General features: G+C 39.6%; 1 protein-coding gene across 4 annotated transcripts in view; it reads right to left on the reverse strand.

Annotated features, from left to right (window-relative positions):
* PRELID2 (PRELI domain containing 2) overlaps positions 1-24,261 on the reverse strand; it is a 606,358-nt gene that overhangs the window by 319,171 nt on the left and 262,926 nt on the right. The gene's annotated exons all lie outside the window — the stretch shown is intronic.

The following is a 24,261-nucleotide window of genomic DNA, read 5'->3' on the forward strand; positions in this document are numbered from 1 at the left end:
AAGTTATAAAATGTGGAATGATAAATCTTGTGTTATTTCATGCTTATGAAAGCTAACATATTTACTAGCCTCTGCCAGCACCCCACCTCCCCTTCTTTTGTTTCAATTTAAATATTGAGGAATACAAATATTTCCTGTTCCCTGGGCTTAATTAGTAACTAAAGTCTAGATTGGTTAGCTGCCTGAATCACAAGAGGAAAGGGGAAATATTTAAGAGAATTCCCCAACAGCTTTAAAATTGCTCTGTCTTTGGCCACATGAAAACAAAATAAAATCATATAATTTTATTGCTATAAGTTTAAACCTCTAATTTTACAAATGTTTGGGAATGATTTTCTCATCTCCCCTTTCTCATTGCCCCCAGTTTCAACCTACCTCAACCTACTCATGTCCTCTACTATATTAAAGAGAATTTGCCAGTGCCAGAGATCTGGGCATCATTTCTGTTGAGCCCACTTCTAAATCTCTGTGGTTGATAGCCACTTCTGTCCATCCTTGTGGTGTCTACCCAGGCCATGCCTTCACTATCTCTCCCCTAGATGGCTGTGATTGCATCTGAGCTCTTGCTGCACCTTCAGTCTTGCCATCTTGCCCTAATCCATACTCTCTCCTCAGTGGGGAAGTCAGAGAAATGCTTACAAAGAGCTAACTGCATCTCTTCCGTATTCTTTACTGACTTTTCATGACTCTCTGAATAAGGCCCAAGGCTCCTAACAGACTCACAAGACCCCTGATAATCCCAATCAAATTTATTCCACATCTGCCACTCATTTGTACCCACCACCTCAAGTTCCATTTAATTCCTCAAAAACAACATGCTCTCTCTCCCATTCCCACATTCTGCTCCTTCTGCCCCCAATACTCTTCTCCTGTCACCTCACTAACTCTTACTTACATGAGGTTGCAGCCTAATGCTCATCTTCTCCAGAAAGTCCTGAGCTCCCCTACAGATGTGATTGTGCACCCCTCTAGTGTGCTCTCAGAGCTCTCTCTAGAGCTGTCACAAAGCACTTGCCCTATGTTACTGCTGTTGCTCATTAGGTGTCTGCTTCTCAGCTAGCCCACATCATTATGACAGGAGAGATCAAGTCTATTTTATTAATTTTAATATCCCTACCTCTTAGGATAGTTTCTGGGACAAAGAGGGTATTTAAATTGTGTTTCTTGAATAAATGAATGAATGAACTTAAATAATTTTTCAAATTCTTAGTGATCCAGGTAGTATATTTAGAATTAGATACCAAACTAGTATTTATGCTCTACTACAGTTCGGAGGTGTTTACTTACTAATTTCACGCTATTAATTTATTCAGTGAATGCTATATTAAGTGTAAGAGTACATGCCAGGTGCAGTGGCACACGCCTCACAAAGTGCTGTAATCCCAGCACTTTGGGATTACAGGCCGAGGCGGACGGAGCACGAGGTCAGGAGATTGAGATCATCCTGGCTAACAAAGTGAAACCCCATCTCTACTAAAAATACAAAAAAATTAGCCGGGCATGGTGGCGGCTGCCTGTAGCCCCAGCTACTCGGGAGGCTGAGGCAGGAGAATGGCATGAACCCAGGAGGCAGAGCTTCCAGTGAGCCAAGATGGTGCCACTGCACTCCAGCCTGGGTGACAGAGCGAGATTCAGTCTCAAAAAAAGAAAAAAAAAAAAGAGTACAAGTAACCACTGAATATAACTTTAGAGCTTATAAAACACGTCACTCCTTAATCCAAAATCCTATCCTAAACATTAGCAACTTTATAACCTCATTTTAAAAGATGAAATTGTTTCCTTCCTTCTTTCTTTCCTTTCAATTCAGTTGGAAAGTCCTGCCACAAGGGAGGCATTGAGGAGGGTGGGAAGGCAGGGACTGGGACCTGACAAGGAGGGATTTCAAATGGGCCAGCAGACCAATGGGGTTAGGTGTTTGACTATGAGCAGGGTTTAGGCAAATAAGTAAACATATTAAAGATAATGGGAGCCAAATTACTGCTGAAGAAGGGAAGAAAGAAGGAGGGGATGAGAATGAACCCTGTGGTATGAACTAGACCTAGAGATATCACTGTAAACTCATGGTTTTCAATATAAAACTCTGGGACAGGAACAACTTTGCAGGTTTGAGAAACAACAGGAGAGCCTTTGTGGCCAGAACATAATGAGCAAGGCGGAGAGTAGAAAGAAAATGAAGTCTGGAGTTTACCAGGACCTATTAAACCAGACTCTCAGTAAATGAAACCAAGAATTTATTTCACAAGTTATTTTTAAGCACTTAAAAATGTAAGATTAGCCAGGTGTGGTGGCACGTGCCTAGAACTCAGTTGCTATGGAGGCTGAGGCAGGAGGATCACTTGAGACCAGGAGATAAGGCTGCAGTGAGCTATGATTGTGCCACTGCCCTCTAACCTGGGCAACAGAGTGAGACCTCATCTCTAATATAGTAATAATAATTTTTAAATGTACAGTTTCCTATACTAAAGAAGGACCTTAAAATATTAACACAATTAATATTTCTAACTTTAATGACATCAGAAATAATGTAAATAAGAAACTAGGAAACCAAGGGGAATAAATTGAATTCAGTCAGCATTAAATGGAATGGCACAAGCTAGCGATTCTTGATCATTGGTGTTTTCCGTTGTAGAGCCATTTTCAAGGATTTAAATCCCAGCACAAAAGAAATAAAAAGTTTACTATTTTTTTCTTAAAAGAATATTAACATAATTCTAGATAATCTGCTCTTGGGGTTGCTATTTATACTAAGTTGTATAGATAGAAAAGTTTATATCAGTAATTTGAATGGTAAATACCATTGTCGTGACTACATAACTCTACATTCTTCCTTTAGCAGTTAAAAACTATACTAATATTATCGAGAATAAATGTTCCTGATAAAATCTTATAAAAACTAAAGTTTTTAAACTAACATTTGCATTTATTTATTATTTGTAGTTAGAGGAGCCAAGAGAAATCTTAACCAATTTGCATAGGAACATGCAAACTAAGAGAACCTGCTTATTGGGAGGCCGAGGGGGGCAGATCACAAGGTCAGGAGTTCAAGACCAGCCTGGCCAACATGGTGAAACCTTGTCTCTACTAAAAATACAAAAATTAGCTGGGTGTGGTGGCGCGTGTCTGTAATTCCAGCTACTCGGGAGGCTGAGGCAGGAGAATCGCTTGAACCCAGGAGGCAGAGGTTGCAGTGAGCCGAGATTGTGCCACTGCACTCCAGCCTGGGTGACAAAGCAAGACTCAGTCTCTAAATAAATAAATAAATAAATAAATAAATAAATAAATAAACCTGCTTAACAACTATTAGAAAAACTCTCTAACAACTCTTTTGTGCTCAGGTTGAAAATCCTTTGACTTGGCAACCCAATCACAAGTGATGACCAAAATTGACTGGAGAAATGTTGCCTTCTTTCAATTAAAAAAATTTACCTTTGACTGATTGTCATGATCATTCTATTTTGGAAAAGTGTCACTGCAGTGATTGAAAACATGTTACGAGAGAAATGATTACCCACTGTATCAGTAAGGGTCTTGGCAGAAAACAGATGGCATACTCCAACTGAGTGATTTGGGATCAGTTTAATAAAGAGACTCTTTACAAAAGTGTGGGCAGAGTTTAGCAAAATCAGCAATACAGAACCCCAGGAAGAGCAACATCTTCAAGATCTGAGAAGGCAAAGGGAGGAAGTGGTTTAGAATCCAGAGAAAGTAGGTGTGTCTGGCAGGAGCAGGGACACAGCCAACCCACAGCCCAGCAGGGAGGTACCAGGGCAATACATACCCCAACCTCATTCTCCTCCCGCCTTCTGTCTCCCCATGGACTGAACCTCTCCTGAAACTGGAGAGCTCACTGAAACACACCATGCAGCTCAGCCTTCCATGACAAAGAGCAGAGAATATCCAATTGAGCTCCCTTCCCAAAGATCAGAATGATAAGAACTTTTCTTACATTACATAGTGTGCCCTACTTTTCCACAGAAATAGGACCAGGTTGTCTTTCTTGGGAGGCAAGACAACAGCCTCCGGATCACACATTTTCCCTGTCTTTTTGATCCATTTTCATAGTGATCATTCATGAGTCATTTTACTGATTTTGGTCATTCATCATCCATGTGCTCTTTGCTTGGTATCAGCCACCAGGCCTTTGTTAAAATGTCCACCTTCTCCCCCTGCAGCCTATTTGTTTGGGAACAGCTGCTGCCACACAAGACTTTGGGTGGGGTATGGCATAGGACTTTGATTATTATAATCACATCCTTCAACTACAGTTGACTTTTAGGGATACGTCTGGTCTAACTGATCCAAACAGACTGAATCCTATTGACTACTGGGTAAAGAGACACACACTGTCTCCCCCGCCTCACCTTCCACCCCAACCCCCTGCCTCAGTTTGAATGAGCAAGCCTCGGGGATACAAGAGGAGATGCTTGCTGAAAATAGAAGCAACACCAAGAAATTAGAACCAAAAAGGAAAAAAGAAAAACATCTTATCCTTACAAAATCAAGTTATTCCTGCCACCGTTCTTTTTTTAAAAATGAGGCAAAAAGTGCTCTTTATTGTTTGGGTCTGCTTTTCTGTTGTTCATCACTGAGAAACGTCTTATCAACACAATTGACTGTATCATACCTCTGTCAAGGCCTCTTGGTGCTTCCCAAAGAAGTAACTACTTTCTAGGTATTCACAATTAAAGTTATTGAAAACACCTGCTCATAGCATGTCATTAATAAACTTTTAGCAGCTTACTGAGAATCCTCAATGTTTATATGTTAATACCTGAAATTAGTTTACTTAGAAGAAATGTTTGGATTAGCCAATAATAATCTAATGAGATAATGAAAATATTACTCCTTCTACCTTTTGCAGATATTTCCCAAGGTGTTGCTATGTACTGGACAATGGGGACTTAAAAATGATTAAGATATAAAGTCATCAGAGAGTTCACTTGAATTAAGCAGAGACACATCATGAAGCTCACTTTACAAAAAGTGATATAATATTATAATTGAAATATATACCAGTTGCTAGAGGACCCCCCCCCCCAAAAAAAAAGGGAGCTGTTAATTGCAAGAAGTCTGGTAAGGCTTTATAGACATGGTGCCTTGTAAGCAGAACCTTCAAGTACACACAGGATCTTTGACAAGGAAGTGACAATGCAAGCCACACAGGTAGCATGAACAAAGGCACAGTCACCTGAGGCGGTTCAGTGTGACTTCTGTAAAGGCAGAGTAGCAAAGTGACTAAGGAGTGCTTAGTTCCACCCTGGCACTCCATCCTTAGCTAGCTACGTGATCTCAGGCAAGTCATTTAACTTTTTCTTTGTATCACCTTCCTCATGTGCAAAACAAGACTAATAGTAGTTTCTTGTTCATACTTGTCCCACAGTTCATTTAAGTAAGTTCTATTACAATTAAAGTACCCATCACTCAAAAAATGCTATTACTCGGAGGGAGATCATTGATTAGGCTGGAAAGGAAGACTGGTGCCAGACTGTGAAAATTCTTATGAAGTCTGCTAAATAATAGATTTTATATAATGTAGTTTTATATAATATAGTGGGTTTTAGATCAGATAATGTATGCACCAGACATCAAAGGTTTTAAATAGACATGAACAGGTTTGTATTTTAGAAAAAGAATTGTGACAGGGTGACTCTTGAAATTGGATGCGGAGAAATTGAAAGCAGGGAAACTGGAATATTACAACAGCCCTTAGATGATAAAGGATGCAGCCTGAATCAGGACAGTGATAGGAGAGGTGGAGAAGAAGTGACAGAAATTCAAAAGTGAAGGATCGAGCATGGTGGCAAAGTTTCTGGTGGATGATAATACCTTTAATAAATAAAGATCAGAAAAGAAGGAAGAGGGCTGGAGGAGGAAACAATAAGCCCAAGTTTTGGACCTGCTAGATGTTAGTTGTCTATATGCCAAACAAATGAAAAATTCTAGAAGCTGTTGGAAAAATGAGTTCAAGAGGGAGTCCCAGGCTGTAGACTGATAGATGAGAATCAACTACAAATACATTACAGCTAAAGAAAGGGAGATGATGTGCCTGCCCAACAACGAGGCTAGAACCCCAAAAAACACTAACGCAAATAGAAAGAAGAGTCAGCAAAGACTTAAAAGTAACCACCAGTGTGGGAGAATGTGAAGTGGAAGAGAGTCGTGATCTCAAAAGCAAGGGAGGAAAAAGCTTCAAGGAGCAACCTTTAGAAATTAAGGGTTTACAGAGATGGCACTTAAGATGCATAATGACAGAAGGACACCACTGCTAACAGGAATCATTTTTAAACCCAGAGAGAAGTTTCAGAGATGTGATAGAAGCTGCACTCAGACTGCAGTGGCTAATGGCAAAGAGAAAAGTGAGGACCTGGACCAGGTTGAAGGATCCACTCTTTCAAAGAGCTGGTTGGCAACTCTCCCAGGCTTCCCTCACTTTGAAATTCCACTGACCTTAGTGTCAGACCATATTATAACCACACAATGTGTGTAATAGGGCTGTGTTGTTGGCTGGCACTCCTCAAAATGGATCTTTTATAATCAGAAAGCCTTGTTTTTGAAAAGCCAGGCAGTTACAGACAGCATTTTGTTTGACTTTTCAAGAACTTTTCCTCTATTCCCCTTGTAAGAATTTTACTCAGGACAAGTAGCAGTGATTTAACAGTTACATTTCCAGTTTCTGAAGGCAGACAATAAAACACTGATGAGGTCTTATTCATTCATGGGTCATCATCAGGAAATAGTGAATGCTAAGAAGAGTTTTAGGCAATTCAAGCAATATAGAAGTTGTCCGTATATATATTAATACCTTCTTTCATATTTATTATGGCTCTGGAAAAGAGAGGTCAAAGCTTATTTCCAAAGTTACCTTGTTAACCTTCAAATCCATCTTTGGATATAAGAAAGAGATAAATATTTGCCCCAATATATAAATAGATAAGTAGAATTTCAGAAGATCCAGAAGGAGCTCAGTGTCCAGAGTTTACAACAGAGATTTCTGGGCATGATTATTGAAGCATTAGAGCAGTGTCCATCAAAGTGTGATCCATGAACCACTTGTATCAAATTTAGGTTAGGTCCCTTTTTTTAGAAATGCATATTCCTGAGGTCCCTTTTAGATCACTGATCTCCTTCTCTGAAGGCATACCTTGAACTCTGAATTTTTAAAAAATGTCACAGGAGATTCTGATGTATCTCAGCAGTTCAAAAGTATTTAAAGATCTCCAGTGACTCAACAAGGACAGAGTACTTATTGAGCATCTACTAAATGCCAGTTATTTGCTAGTCACTTCAAACAATGTCAATACGTATAACACTTTTCCTAGCCTAAAGTAGTTTTACTACAGTTGAGTATTATTGTCTTCCCTGTTCATAACCCCTAGATTTGGGGTAGCATTATCACACAGCCCAGCTGATTGGACCAGGAATACAACTGGACAGCTGACCAACAATTCTCTCTGTGTATCAATAATTTGAAATAGGACACAGAAACTGTAGGTGGTTGGTGATGAATGCTGAAGCTGATCAATTAGGAATAGATTTTTGGTTAGTGGCTGTGGTGAGCCATATGCAAAGGGAGCCAGCAGGAGTATCAAATCAAGAAAAAGAGAAGGATGGAGGAAACTCACAGAGAGAAGCAGTCCTTGAGAGCCAGGGAAAAAGGTCTTAGTTCCTGATAACTTTCTAGTTTCCCCAAGGCCCTACTGCCACTGCTTCCATGAGATTCCCTATATCCTTACATTAAAACTTGTGCTCAGGCCAGACATGGTGGCTCATGATTGTAATCATAGAACTTTGGGAAGCCGATTGCCTGAGCTCAGGAGTTCGAGACTAGCCTGGGCAACACAGTGAAACCCCGTCTCTACTAAAATACAAAAAATTAGCCAGGTGTGGTGGCGTGTGCCTGTAGTCCTAGCTACTCTGGAGGCTGAGGCAGGAGAATTGCTTGAACTCGGGAGGCGGAAGTTGCAGTGAGCCAAGATCACGCCACTGCACTCCAGCCTGAGCAACAGAGCGAGACTCTATCTCAAAAAAAAAAAAAAAAAAAAGAAAAGAAAAGAAAACTTTTACTCAAACTAGGTTGATTGGTTTTCTGCTGTCAGAGATTATAAGAGCCTTATGTGGAGCACCTAATGTGTAATTGAATAAATTAAGCACGTGCAATTCCATTCTTCTTCCCTATCGCAGTAAAAGGGAATCACTTTCTGGCTAGTTGTGTGAGCCAGAAATCTTGATATCATTTCACTCCCTCATCTCTCACATCCAATATCACCAAAAATTACTGATTTCAGCTCTGGTATTTCTCAGTGCTATTTATTTCTTTCCATAACTATTATCTGTTATCCTAGATTAGGCTACCTAAGTCCCTGCCTCAGGCACATTCTGGTCTACCCATAACCCACTCTTTGTCCTGCCCAGGTAGATATCTCCAAAATACATCTGAAAATCTGATCATATCCCCAGTACCCTATTGCCACACCAACCATCATCCAATGGTTCCCCATTGCATTTGGTATAAAGATCAACATCCTCAAAAGAGCCGACAAGGCCCAATGTGGTCTCACCTGACCCTACTCTTATCTTGAACCTTGTATTCTCTGTTCAACCCTCACTGGCCTTCTCCCAGGAGATAATACTTCCCATGCTTCTTTTCACCACAGCACCACTATGAATGCACTTCCTCAGTCTCTAACACTCCTGTCTCCCTATATGCCTAGGTAACTCCTCCTACTCATCCTCTGGACCTCATCTCCAGCATTTTTTCTTTTTTCAGGGAAGCCTTTTCTCATCTCTCTGACAAGGCCCAATATCTCTAGTGTAAATTGTCATGACACCGTGTGACTTAACTTTTTAGCACTTACCACGATTGCAACTTTAAAGTTGTGTGATAATCTAATCATCTAATAATTACCCATTAGGCTACCCAGTGTCTGTTTTGTTCACCAGTATGTCCCCAACACCCAGCACACTACCTGATACATAGTGAGTTCTCTGAAATACTTGTTAAATAAATTTTGAATGACTAGAATTGGTAAGAAAACAATCAGAAACAGTGCTTGACAACCAAATTTTTATTAACCAAAGCATAAGTTTGCCCAAGCTGGCGACCAGATGAGGAAAGTAGAAGATGGAAAAGTCAGGCATGCTTATGAAAGGTACTGATATGAATGAGGTAGAGACAACAGGGAGCTTGAGTTAGTTGGGACTTTGTTAGGTTATGGACCAAAATCATTTAGAAACTTGAGGTAAAATAGCAATCTAATGACAAACAGATGACAATCCACATGACAGGCAATCTGGATCATGAGCCAGAGCAGGACTACAACAAGACTTCTGACTAAGAGAAAATGTCTGGGTGAGGATACAGACAATTGAGTGAGAATGAAGTGAATGACCTGGGTTGTCAAGGAGCCAGACAGAACACCAGAGGAGATGCCGCTGGTGGAGCAAGATGAGAAACAGTAGAAAGGAATAGTTGCAGGGGGAGTCAGATCTTAATCTATACTTAGTATGTGCCAGGTAACTGTCTAAATGCTTGAAGGCACTATTTCATTTTAATTCTCACACTAATCCAATGAGGTAAGCAAGCTAAGTGTACCAGTTTTACAAACGAGAAAACTGAGGCCTGCCCAAGGTCAACACTTAGTAAATGGCAGCACCAAAGTTTGAACCCAGAGAGGCTGACTCTATACTTTTATCTACTATAGTATGCTCTTTTCTTTTTAAAATTTGGGACCAAAATGGCTTATTGATGAAGTTGGTTCTTGCCTTGGCTACAAAACGAGATCAGAAAAACAGTCTGTGAGAACAAAAGTAAGATGGGAGAAGCTTCTTATAAAATAGAATCAGAGGTCCCTAAATAGATCAAGAAATGAAATTATTTAATGTCATGTCATTTAATGAGCACTAAGTCATAGTTTTTAACAGTATAGAATCAGATAAATCTGGTTTCAAATACTGACCTAGATGTGTGGCTGTTACTTAAACTCTCCGACATTTGGTTTCTGTTCTTAATGGGACTATTAAAACCTGGCTCATAAAGTTGTTTAAAAGAAATGAGATAACGTATTTGAAAGTCATTAGTACAGAACTAAAGGATGTACTCGATAATTAATCAGAAAAGATATTTTACAGAACTGAGATATTTGTAGAGGTTGTTGAAGGGGGAATATGAAACTTCATTGTTGTTATACCCATGAACCAAATGGTTCATTACCAGTGATTTGACAGATACACATATGTGCATGGATAACCTTCTTATTAGCTAAATGTCTCCTGTGGGAAGACTAAAAATTCCACAGTGAAGGCTGTTGAATGGAGCTGATAACTCTGTAGTTACAATTTGCCCTAAGAAATGCTGACAGCTAAAGTGAACTCACCTTACGTGACACTCAGAATTCTCCAAGCAGCTTTAGAATTGGCTTTAGAACTATGTCTGAGAGTCAAAAGCTTTAAGGCTTCCATTTTCAAGCCATGCCTTAGAGCATACCCATAAGAGCTACTCTTCCATAAAGCAGTGAATCTGGCTTTGCAAGACTATCATGCTTATCTTTAAAAAACTGAAGAGTCTGAGGATTTTGAGGCAGACTCACCAGTGACATTGCAGCTCTTGACTTTGAAGATGGAGCTAATGAAAATATGAAAAGCATTCATCCTCAAACCTTTTAATAGACTTGGCACATTTTTGGAGGGCAATTTGGCAAAATCTATGAAAAAAATGTGATGCACATTTTCTATAATCCAGCAAACCAACTCCTAAGAATCTATTCTATAAAAATGTTTGCACAACCATGAAAATAAATATAAGTAAAAAAGTGTTTTGGGGCCGGGCACAGTGGCTCACGCCTGTAATCCCAGCATTTTGGGAGGCTGAGACAGGCGGATCACGAGGTCAGGAGATCGAGACCATCCTGGCTAACATGGTGAAACCCCGTCTCTACTAAAAATACAAAAAAATTAGCCGGGCGTAGTGGCAGGCGCCTGTAGTGCCAGCTACTCAGGAGGCTGAGGCAGGAGAATGGCATGAACCCGGGAGGCGGAGCTGGCAGTGAGCCGAGATTCCGCACTGCACTCCAGCCTGGGCGACTGAGCGAGACTTCATCTCAAAAGAAAAAAAAAAAAAGCGTTTTGGGAAATACTGTAATAAATGTCCATCAAAAGAGAAATGATTTTATAAATTAGGGTATCTACATTAAGTAAAATGCTATGGGGCTAATAAAAAAAAGAAAAAGACAGATATATGTCTACTGACCTGAAAATATTCTGTTACACTAAGCTTAAAAGGCTGCAGAACATCAAAAATACATAATGTAGTCTTTTTTGTTTAAAATATGTGTCATATATGTGCACATACACATGCATAAACAAAACACATGTATAAACAAAATCTATAGCAATGCATCTTAAAATCTTCTTTCCACTTTCATCCACTTCTTTCTCATCCCATGACTCCTCTATTGCCCCCTCCTCCTTATTTCTAAGAAAAGTCTGGCTCTAGCACGAGTGCCCAGCATGAGAGCCTTTTGTCTTTCTTAGCCTATCTTCTTGCTTCTCCTGTTTTGTCTACCTCTTCTCTTTTTCCCAATTCTGCATCACCAACCCCAAAAACCAAGCAGTCAATGTGGAACATTTCTCAAGGGGAATGGAAAGAGAAGATACTGAATATATTTTCCTTGGTAAAAAGAGGTAAAAAAAAAAAAAAAGAAGAAGAAGAAGAAGAAAAAGAATACCCTCTTTATTGTATAGGAGAAGAAAGACACTAACATACAGATGCTCCTCGACTTATGGTGGGGTCATGTTCCAATAAACCCATTATAAGATGCATTTAATACATTTAACCTACCAAACATAGCTTAGCCTAGCCTACCTTAAACATGCTCAGAACATTTACATTAGTCTACAGTTAGGCAAATCATCTAAGACAAAGCCTATTTTATAGCAAAGTGTTGAATACCTCATGTAATTTATTGAATACTGTCCTGAAAGTGAAAAACAGAATGATTATATGGGTACTCGAAGTACAGCTTCTACTGAACGTGTCACTTTTGCACCATTGTAAAATCAGAGATCACAAATGGAACCATTGTAAGTTGAGGACTGTCTGTACTAATAAGTGCTGTTCCATCATACTTATTCTCCCCTCTTTCTCAACCAGTAAGCTCAAGTGCCACAAAAACAGAAACTGTAGTTTCATTATTATATCCTCAGAACCTATCACTTACCCAGCACATAGTAGGTGCTCAATAATGTTTGTTGAGTATATGTTTGAACAAGTAATGCCCTTAAGCAGCTTACATCCTGTTAGGAAGGCTTGTAATTGGTAAATTAAGTAATTTATCCTTAATATCACACGTGCTGCTGACCCACTATTACCTGAGAGGCTTTTAACAGCTTTAAACAACCAACTGCCAATAACTAAGAACTTGCTTCTGCAAAGTCTGGCATGCTAATACAGCCTGTCAGCCAGGGAACCCAGTGAAGCTGTGCTTAGCAACCAGTCCCTTTGCTATCTATTTTGGTTAGATATGTCAAAAGTTATTCTAACTTCATTCAATCAATGGCTTCATGTTGTGAAAGAAAGACACTGCAAAGAGATGAGAAAACAGAATCAAAGACATGTATGTTCAACACTTCTAAAGGCTGTACCAAAATGCCTCTCTTCTTTCCCAGTGCAGTTAGGGCTGTAATGCACACTTGTTTACAATCCATCTGGGAGGGACCTATAAGCAGAAGGAAGGCATCTTTGACCTTCATCTCCCTGGAAGGAGAAATACAGAACAGCTGTCTGTTTACCATCCCGACCTCATTTCCATGACGTTGAACCACTCATTTGGGAATCATGAAAAATAGGACTGTTTCACTTTTTTTTTTTTTTCCTAAAATGTTCTTGAAGACACTAGGCCCTGGGTAAGCTACAAAATGACTGAAACTGCATGCCACAAAGATTTGTTAGGTGGAAAGGGAAAGATATTTAGCCTCCAAGTTATGAATAAAGTACAACACACAATCTGTATATTTTTGTCTTTCTGTACCATGACTTCTACTTAGTATTTTGACTCATAATTTCCAGAGAAAATTCTTTGAATGCAAATACATATTAACTTCCAATAAAATAACTAAGGCGAAAGTTGGGCCCTTGACCAAGAGCAGCACTTTTTTCTTCCTTTTTTTTCTTTTCTGTATTGGTGCATGCCATCTTGGTTCAAGTGAGTGCCGACAAGAATGAGCAAGATCACATTACATCCCCTAAGCACGGCTCCCAGACAGGGGCTTTATTATTTCATGTATTCTAGATACACCAGTGAAAATGGAAGGAAATCCTGCTGTTTTCATTCAATAAATTGTCTTATGCCTTAAGTGAGTTTTGACTTCAAAATTAACAGTACTAGGTGCCAGTTTGAACAGGAAGGCACTATATAAGTCATTGAGTCCATGCATGTCCTTGACAGAGGACAATTAGGACAATTTTTTAGATGAAAAGAAAGAGAGAGCATTACCTAAAGTCTCAGCTGGTGTCAGGCAAAAAGAAAAACTAAAACTAACTCACTGCTCAGTATTCTTTTCACTGTCACATAGCCTCTCACCTTGAACTGAGACCACCATCAATATAATAAGATTTAAATTCAATACATTTGCATGAATGCCTCTTATGGCCCCAGAATTAGGCTAGACTTCTGTGAGAGGCATATAAAAAGGTATAAGTCAAAAAAAAGTATAAGTCTCAGCCACTGCCCTTAAGGACCTAACTTCAGAGACGAAAGTCATGCATTTTGGAGGGGCAAATAGGAGGTGACCACTAATGGGTATAGGTTTTCTTTTTAGGATGATGAAAATGTTCTGGAATTAAGATAGTGGTGATGGTTGTTTAACCTTGCACATACACTCCCACTGAATTGTATGTACAATGGCAAATTTTATAGTTTGTGGATTAGATCTCATTTTTTTAAAGTCATGCATTTCAGGTAATTAGTAATGAATCAGAATCTAGTGGCAAAAGATGGCTTGTGGCATTAAGTGAAAATCAGAAAGGCTGACTAGCAAGTGCCAAATACTTCACGTAAAAGCAAGAACTTAAGGAAATATACATTGGGCTTTCATAATCCCATAAATCCTGTAATGATGGCAGTCTTTTACAACTTCTTCCTTGTTGAAATTAGTCCTTGACTCCAGAAAAAACCTCCAGTTTCGCCTAAAATACCAGGATTATATATTTATTTTGCATAAATTTATGGCGTAAACATCAATCTCTCCTTCAATTTTTGCTCTGTGTATCTAAATTCAGTTAATGTACATCTAGATGATCTATTATGGTTCATTTTCATGATTCATAAAATGTGTTTGTACATTTGAAGTGGTTTGCTTTGGTGCACCCATTGCCTGCCTGGCTCTGCAAGCATGTGGAGTCAAAATTTGGTGGCAATAACATGAATAAGGGCAGGAATGTAGGCAAGGAAATAAAGATAGATTCTGTTAAAAGATTGTCTTCATGTTCTTTGTGGGAAAAGGTACCAGAGTAGGTGAGTAAGCATTTGCACTGAGGCAAAATGCTTCAAAAGTACACACAAGTTTTATAAATCATGAAAAAGAACCATAGGAGAAAATCTAGATGTGCGTTAACAGAGTTTACAGACACAGAAAAAAAAAATGGAAGGAGAAGATGGGTGATTATACCATAAATTTAAACAAAATAAATACATAATTCTGGCACTTTAGGCCAAAGTAGAGTTTTTTTCTAGAGCCAATGACGAATTTCAACAAGGAAGAGGTTTCAAAGAACTGACTCTTTATCTCAGGATTTATGGGACTATTAAAGCCCAAAAGAGCATTCATGGATATTTCCCGTTTGCCTATTCAGAATCCATTTCCTGTTCTTCCCTTTTCATGTGGGAAATCACACCATCACCATTCTTTGTTAATGTGGCTCATGCTGACTCCAGGGGTGGGCACATGATCCACGCTTGGCCAATGATCTTATCCTCATACCCTGGCCACAGCCATGGTCATGTGCCTCAAGTCAGCATGCAATTCTGGAACTTTTGATATCACCGTTTAGGAGAGAAATATCCTTTTGTACAAGGATTTCTAATTCTTTGAATGATGCTAGCCAGGAACTGTGGGGAACCACCCACAGACGGGACCTCCTGGAGAGTGAAGTCAATAAAGAGCCAAGAAATGGAGAATCAGATTCCTGGTGACTAAATGTGAGCTCCTGGATCCACACATAACTGGAGCCACTGCCCTTGGATTGTTCGGATAGATGAATGAATATATTTCTTTCTGTTTAAGCCATTTTGAACCATGTTTCTGTCAATTTCAATAAAAAGTCATGATAAATGCAACATCCTGCTCAACCTTAAACTTTCCAGATGAGGAACTGAGGTCCAGAGAGGAGTATGAAGTTGCTTATGGTTGCACAGTAACCAACAGCAGAACCTAGGCAAAAATGCAGACAGCTTCGATTTTAGTCCACTGCCTTTTCTTGACACTGTCACTGAAGATTCATTTTGGTAAGTGAAGTAAGCCAGACGCAAAAAGAAAAATACTGCATGATCTCATTTATGTGTAAAACCTACAAAAGTTAAATAGACCCAAGCTGAGAGAATGGTGGTTACCAGGGTTAGGGAGGTAGAACAAATGAGGAGGTGTTGGTCAAAGAGTATAAAGTTATAGTTACATACAATGAGTAAGTCTAGACATTTAATGTACAGCATGAGTGCTACAGTTAATAATACTGTGAGAATGCCAGAAATTCCCCCATGAAAGTAGATTTCAAGTGCTCTCACCAAAAAAAGTAACTATAAGAAGAGATGGATATATTAATTCACCGACTGTCAAAGTCTTTTCACTATGCATATGTACGTCAAAACATCATGTTGTGCAAGTAAAATATAAGCAATTTTTAGTTAAAAAGAAAGCTCAAAAGCATTGATTTTACTTTTTGAAAAAGACTCATTCTGGAAACAATTAGACAACCAAAGTTAAAATGTCACCCATAAGCCAAAGCTTTTAAAGAGAAACTTTGGTGTACCTGCCTCTGAAAATTACATGTTTTCTCTCAAAGCACCAAAAAGCATCAAGGATCAGCAAACATCCAATGGCTTCACACTGTTATTAGAATGAAATTCAAACTCCTTTCTGAAGTCCTCACACACTTGACTGATTGGGCCCCTGACTTTCTTGCCACCTCATCTCATGCAGTGCTTTCCTTCTGCCACTATGCTCCAGCCACTCTGGTTTTCTTTCACAGCCTTGAATGTCCCTCACTCTTGTCCCACTCACTTTTGCATGTGCTCATCCCTCTGGCTAGGATGCTTGTCCTGAACTCTTGGTACAGCTGGCTCCCTCTCATCTCCAGGTTTCAGTTTCAGTGTCACCCCCATCATGGAAGTCTTTCATCAAAGCAGAACCCTCTCCTTATAACTCTTGAACTCAGAACACTGTTTTAAATTTTATCTATTTATATTGCCATTTTATCCATTATTTACATGTTTGTTTTCTTCCTCTCTCCTGGACTTCATGTGAGCAGAAGCACAGCTCTACAGACCACTGTGAAACCCCAGTGCCCAGCATTTAGAATGCATTGAATAAATATTCCAATTGATGGAAGAAATAAATAAAAGATAACCCCCCTTTCCTAACTTGAGCTCACAGCCTTTCCAACTTTTTCCAAATAAGGCTTCATCTTCTTTATTCCCAAAATGAGAAAGCTTCAGGAGACTTCCATTATGGCGTCCCTTGGCTAGAGGAGGGAGTTCCCCAACCCTTCAGGCTTCCTGCGCTTCCCGGATGAAGTGACACCCCACCCTGCTTCGGCTCACCCTCCGTGGGCTGCACCCACTGTCTAACCAGTCCTAATGAGATGAGCCAGGTACCTCAGTTGGAAATGCAGAAATCACCCGCCTTCTGTGTTGATCTTGCTGGGAGCTGCAGACCAGAGCTGTTCCTATTCGGTCATCTTGCCAGCCACCCAGAAGTATTCTTCTTAGAAAACCCTTATAAGAGCATTTTTGCCATTTAAACAGCAGTGATTTCCCAAAGCCATTTTCTAAACCTAAATTGCTGGGCAGCTTAGCTTCATCCAAGCCTGTGTCCAGCAAAGGAAGGCAGGTGGCTACTGCTCCATTTGCCAGTGGCGATCAGGCCTAAGTGACTGAATTGCCCTTCCAGGTGATTTGCCCTGTTATTGTTTTGACATGGAACCATTATATTAATTCTGACATTGGCACTGCTTGCTGCATCAAACCAAGTGTCTTTGCTGCCAACTTGAATAGGTAAATATTGTATTTTCATCCAATTCAACTGTAAATCTCATAAACTAAGCCTTGAGAAAAGGTGTATTTAACCTCACATGGATTGCAGACAATTGTAATGCAGTAATGCAGGCCACTGTAAGCCAAGAAGCTTGGTCACTTGTAGTCAGCTGGCAGACATGTCAACTCTACAGCTCATGCTCACCTTGTTATGATCCTTTTGGTTTGCAGACAAAAATAAACGTTTTAAGCAAAAATAGAAATTTACTGGGTCACTTAACTGAAAACTCCAGTAGTAAATCTGTGCCTGGATTCAGGATTTCAAATCATGTCATTCTCAACTCTGCTCATTCACACACTTCCTTTGCAGGCTCCTCATGGTGGCGAGATGGACAGCCATTCTCCAAGCCTCCATGCCAGTAGGTGTAAGTCTAAGCAAACATTTCTTTAAGTTTCATTGGCTCATGTGAGGCCATATGTTCATTTCTAAAATAATCAGATTATTCTGAAAAATGTCTAAGGCAATATAATCTCTTAACGTAGATAGAATGACCACATGGACACATCTAGAGCTTTGGAGTGGAGTCAACTCTACGTGAAGCTCATGGTTAAGGACTAAGAAGTGGATTACTCCTCTGGGGTAGATCAGAGTGCTGTTACAAGTAGAAAAGTGAATGAAAGCTTGGCAATAATAATAATGGACTTCTGCTATACCACGCAGGTTACTAAGCCTCAGAAGTGTTCTTGCAATGGTGACAACTGCCAAATAGCCCCTGTATCTCTATGATGCCTGGGTCAACCAAAGAGAAATAGGGGCAAGAGACAATGGGATACAGAGGACTGTATAACTGACATATTCTAAATTCTTTACAAACCAAAACCCATCTACCTACTTCTCTTATTTTTTGCCAAGTACACCACACATCCACTCTTCCAACGCCATCAAGAGTAACAACCAACCCAGGGTTTGGACTGAAACACAAAGGGAATGTCTCCAACACCAGCATTTTGCCATTCCATTTATATACACCTCTGAGAAGCAATAAAGAGACACAAAAATGAAAAGAGAAGAGGAAAAGAAAGGTGACAGTATAAAAAGGGAAGGAGGAAGAAAAGATACAAGGAGAATAATCTGTAAAGGTAAAGAAAAAGTGAAAAAGGCCCCACATGGTGGTTCATGCCTGTAATCCCAGCACTTTGGGAGGCCAAGGCAGGCAGATCACTTGATGTCATGAGTTCGAGACCAGCCTGGTCAACATGGTGAAATTCTGTCTCTACTAAAAATACAAAAATTAGCCAGGTGTGTTGGTGTGCACCTGTAATCCCAGCTGCTCGGGAGGGTGATGCAGGAGAATCTCCTGAACCTGGGAGGCGGAGGTTGCAGTGAACCAAGATCACACCACTGCACTCCAGCCTGGGTGAGAGAGTGAGACTCCATCTCAAAAAAAAAAAAAAAAAAAGAGAGAGCAAGAGAAAGAGAAAGAAAAGGTGAAAAATATCTCTGAGGGGTGAAAGTGTGAACAGTTTTCTTTTTCTATTTATTTTGCTTATCTAATTTTTCTATAATAAACATGTATTATTTACACTAAATGTGTTTCTAATAAATAAAAGAATTTCTTCCAATTATATCCTTCTATGGCCAGAGTATATATATCATTTTCATATATGATGTTGGAGTTTTAACAAGGAGGATAATAAATAACAATAAATAAAATATCTCTTTATTTTCCCCACCAAAATTCACATCCATTTCAGAGATAAATGCAGGAGTGAAGCCAAGAAAGATTAAAATATTAGCTTTATTACCTATTGATATGGTTAGGGTTTGTGTCCCCACCCAAATCTCAAATTGTAATCCCCATGTGTCAAGAGAAGAAAGTGATTGAATCATGAGGGTGGTTTCCCCTTTGCTTTTCCCATGACAGTGAGTTATCATGAGATCTGATGGTTTGGTTTGGTTTGGTTTGGTTTGGTTTGGTTTGGTTTGGTTTGGTTTTGAAACAGGGTCTCACTCTGTCACCAAGGCTGGGGTGCAGTGGTGTGATCTCAGCTCACTACAAGCTCTGCCTCCTAGGTTCAAGTGATTCTCCTGCCTCAGCCTCCCAAGTAGCTGAAATTACAGGCATGCACCACCACATCTGGCTAGTTTTTGTACTTTTAGTAGAGATGGGGTTTCACCATTTTGGCCAGGCTAGTCTCAAACTCCTGACCTCAAGTGATCTACCCACCTCAGCCTCCCAAAGTGCTGGGATTACAGGTGTGAGCCACCAAGCCCAGCTGATCTGATGGTTTTATGTGTCTGGCACTTCTCCTGCTGGCACTTCTCTTTCCTGCTGCCATGTGAAGAAGGTTCTTACTACCCCTTTGCCTTCCACCATGATTGTAAGTTTCCTGAGGCCTCCCCAGCCATGTGGAACTGCGAGTCGATTAAACTTCTTTCCTTTCTAAATTGTGTAATCTCAGGTATTTCTTCAGAGCAGTGTGAAAACAGACTAATACACCGATAAATCTGATGTTGGATAAATAAAATGCTATTTTCAAGACAATTAGGCTCACTGATATTTCAGCCTCTCATTTAGACAGACTTGCCCAATCATAGCTACTGGTAATTCTGGACGATACTGGGCCTTCTCCTTTGGAGGCCTGCTCCTATTATATGGCAGAAAGGAGAAGCACAGAAGGAATGCTCCTGCTGGCAGAGTTCCTCCCAAAGACCAAAAAGAAAGAAAAGTGTTTAGCCATGCATGCTTAGATACTTCTCCTAAACTCGCCAATCAAACTACTCAATTTCCTGGGAAAGCATGAAAGAGGGAGTGAGGAAGAGGCCAAGTGCACTCTAATAGAGACCCCTCCACATGGAATCCACTGCCAGGGGACAGAATTCTCCCCCAATCTCCCCCGGCAGATGTTAGCGTCTATTGTAAGCCAGCCACCATATATTAACTCTTATCCCTATCACTGGAATTAAGATAAATAAAAAATGTTATTCAATATTTGGTTATCCACGACTATTCTCAATCACTGGAAGTCAATAAGAATCCTTTTTTCTAAATCAACCAACTAATTAGATCAGCGATCATAATGGAAAAACTTGCTTCAGGAGGAACTTGCAAGGACTATATTATGATAATGGTTTTATATTATTTACTATCTATAAGATTAAGAAGATGATGACATGAAAATAAATGTGACACTGACTTCTTTCTCTTTTAGAATTTCTCTCCCAGTCAGCCATCTTCTCAGGAGAAAGATAGTGTTTGCTATTGCACTTTTAGGTCTTCTTCTCCCTGGCCTGCCTCATAAATAATGATGAAATCTTAGCTACTTAGATTTCTGTTGCAGCCAGCTGCTTTTATTTATGAATAACTTGGGCAGCCAATCATTTCCTGCATGCTAGCACAATACTACTCTCAAAGAGAAGGCATCAGGTTACTGGGAAAACCTGGGACAGGATGTTACACACTGTACCTGCCACCCCACCACCATCTCAGAGCAAAGATTTATTCAGCCCACTGGAATTGGCATATATTTTATTGCTGCCATCATAAAGAAACATGGCAGTCTGCTCCTTCTGGTCTATTGCTGTTTGAAACTTTCCTATTTTCATGCTTCCTTCATGCTGTTTCAAAGAAACACTGTAAAGATTTTACAAAGGTTATCAATTACATCATCACCTAGAACATCAGATAGCATCCTCACCAGTTAAGACCCATTGAGTGATGAAAAGTACAGACTGAAAAACTGTCAGGAATAGTTTGTGTCTAAGCAATGAAATCTTGTTAAATAAAATTCAAAATAGAGGGCAAAACAATCAAAGTGTCTCAAATGTTCATCTCATTCTTACAGATGAATTAATAAAGAAGGAACTTATTACTTGATTGGCAGTCAAAAGAAAACCTGGTTTTTCTACAGAATATATTCTAAACTTAAACTATTTTTAATGTAACATGTCTGGGTGGATCCAGCCCTTAATTGTAATTTTTAAAGGAATATAACATAATTATGTTGCTAGGATTTTTATTTTTCATTTCTGCCTTCTCTTTTCTTCTCATTATCATGGTCCATGAAGATAGAGGCTTGGCTTTTGACTTCCTAAAAGCTACTAATATTACCCTGCATTATGGAATCTTGATGCAGTGATATGGTTTAAGAGAAAACAAGAATGCTTCTGGGCAGCAAGACCTGACTGGGCTGACATTGGAATATGTGATTTCCTCTGCAAGATCTCAAAAAACCTATGACAGTTTGCAATTGTTTTCATTGCTCAGGTTAAGGGAGAAAGAAAGTATTTGTTGAATATTTATTACGTATTAGGTATTTACATAAATTAGACATTTTGTCAGGCAACAAATGTTCATTGAGGATTTACTGTGTGCCCGACACTGTACTAGGTGATGTAGTGATGGTACCTCCCAATGTTTTTGCTAGTTGTCCATCACAGTCGATTGTGAATTTTGTAAGTCTTTGCTCAGAAAGCTTGTGTTAGTTTGCTAGGGCTGCTATAACAGAGTATAGCAAACTGGGTGGCTTAAACAAAAGAAATGTATTCCCTCACAATTCTGAAGGGGAGGAGTCTGAGATCAAGGTGTTGGCCAGGTGGATTCCTTCAGAGGGCTGCGAGGGCTATCACATGCCTCTCTCCCAGCTTCTGGTTGTTCGCATTGGCATCATCATCCAGATCTCTGCCTTCATGTTCATATGGTGTTCTCCCTGTGTGCATGTCTGTGTCCAAATTTTCTCTTTTTATAAGTATACCAGTCATATTGATTAGTACCCACCCTAATGACCTCATCTTAACTAGATTACCTCTTTCAGTCTATGGCACTGGGGGTTAGGACATCAATATATCTTTTATTAGGGGACACAATCCAACCCATAACAAGCCTCCAGAACAGAGGTACTCACATCAGAGGTTTTCCACTATGACGTGAATACAACATTCACATGAACATACTCCTATGGGATATTTTCACAAAGCTCATTTCCACTCACTTGAACTCTATCTTTGTCCTCTCATTTATGAAAAAAAAATTTGCAGGAGTAGTTTTTTAAACACAGTAAAACTACATTTTACAAGCATTATAATAATGAGGACAGCCTCAACCAGTAAAGGCTGTGGTGCTGATGCTATGAGCTTCAGTTTATAAGTAACTCTCAGAATTAGCAGTAACTTCTTTCCTCTGTATCAGATCTCAGAACCAATCCATGCATTAATCATATTAGCTCCACCTTCAAAATATATCCAGAATCTATCCATGTCTCATCCCCTCCTCTGCTACCCACTTGTCCAGCTATCACTATCTGTTTCATGCACTCTTACAACAGCTTCCTAACTGGCCATGCTTTTGTCATTGTCCTCCCATTGTCCCCTAACTTATTTTAAATGTAACACACAATTCTTTTACAGAATAAGTCAAGTCATAACACTCCTCTACTAAATACCTTCCCAAAGCTCCCCATCTTATTGAGAATGAAATTAAAGTCCATACAGAAACCAAGACATTACATAAGCTGGTCCATTACCACTCTTCCTTTAGCTTCTACAGTTCTCTCTCTTGCTTACCGTAATCCAGCCATTCTTTAAACATGCTGGGCTCTTAATAAATGTCTGCTGAATGAATGAATCCAAATGGCAGAACATAATTCTAGTGACTTGAAAAAGCATTTTTATACTAATTACACATAAATGTACTCTGATGTTTTTTAAAAACTTAATTCTTTGAAAACATTAAGATTTCAGCTTAATTCCCCAGGTTCAAATTTCAGTTCTACCACCTATATCTGTATGGTGCTGGACACGTTATCTACTCTCTTTGTGCCTCAGGTAAACCAAAATAAAATTCTAAGCCCTGCAACTGTCAGAATGGGCACTTCCTCTTGGCCAAGGGCATTCCAAAGTTAACCTGAAAAATGAGTTCAGGCTAGGACAGGAAGTGGGGGGCCAAACATGCCTCATTATATCTGCCTCCCTTTGGAATTCAGGCACAACTGACCAGCATTAACATTAAAACAGAGACCTTAAGACTTTTTGCAGCACTAAGATACCACATTCCAGACTGATTCTTATCCAGCATCACATGACAGATAGCAGGCAATGAAAGAAATTAAAGTATTTTACCCTAATATATATTTCTTTGACATATTTTCAAATGGTCCTGAAAAGCTATCTCTTCCTGGGAAAATCTACCTTCTGTAGAGAATCCCCCTCCCTTTCCAGACTTTTCCTTGATCCAGGAGAGAATTAACTAAGAGTCTGGCACCTTTTTAAGTCTGATAAGAAATATTTACAATCTATTTTTTTGGCCAGGTGCGGTGGTTCACGCCTCTAATCCCAACACTTTGGGAGGCTGAGGCAGGTGGATCACAAGATCAGGAGATCGAGACCACCCTGGCTAACACGGTGAAACCCTGTCTCAACTAAAAATACAACAAATTAGCCACGCTTGGTGGCAGATGTCTGTAGTCCCAGCTACTCTGGGAGTCTGAGGCAGGAGAATGGCGTGAACCCAGGAGGCGGAGCTTGCTGTGAGCCGAGATTACACCACTGCACTCCAGCCTGGGCAACAGAGTGAGACTCCGTCTCAAAAAAAAAAAAGAAAGAAAAAAGAAAAAAAAGAAGCATTTACAATCTATTTTTTTAAGCATGCTACCTGGAGACTTTATCTGTATAATAAGAACCTTGGTCTCCACAATGCCTTGTCTTAACCCACACACTCTCTTCTATGGATTCCAGATCTTTAGATAAATTGGTTGAAAAAACCAATTGCCAATCAGAAAATTTTGGCTTCTCCAGTGACCTGGACACCCCCACTACTAGTTGTCCTGTCTTTCCAGACTGAACATCTTACATATATTGATTGATGTCTTATGTCTCCATAAAATGTATAAATCTAACCTGTACTCTGATGACCTTGGGTGTATGTTCCCAGGATCTCCTGGGGCTGTGTCACTGGCAATTGGTCATTCATAACTTCCTCAGAATAAATCCCTTAAAATATTTCACAGAGTTCTATTCTTT

Source organism: Homo sapiens, chromosome 5, assembly GCF_000001405.40.
Source record: "Homo sapiens chromosome 5, GRCh38.p14 Primary Assembly".
Lineage (NCBI taxonomy): Eukaryota > Metazoa > Chordata > Mammalia > Primates > Hominidae > Homo > Homo sapiens.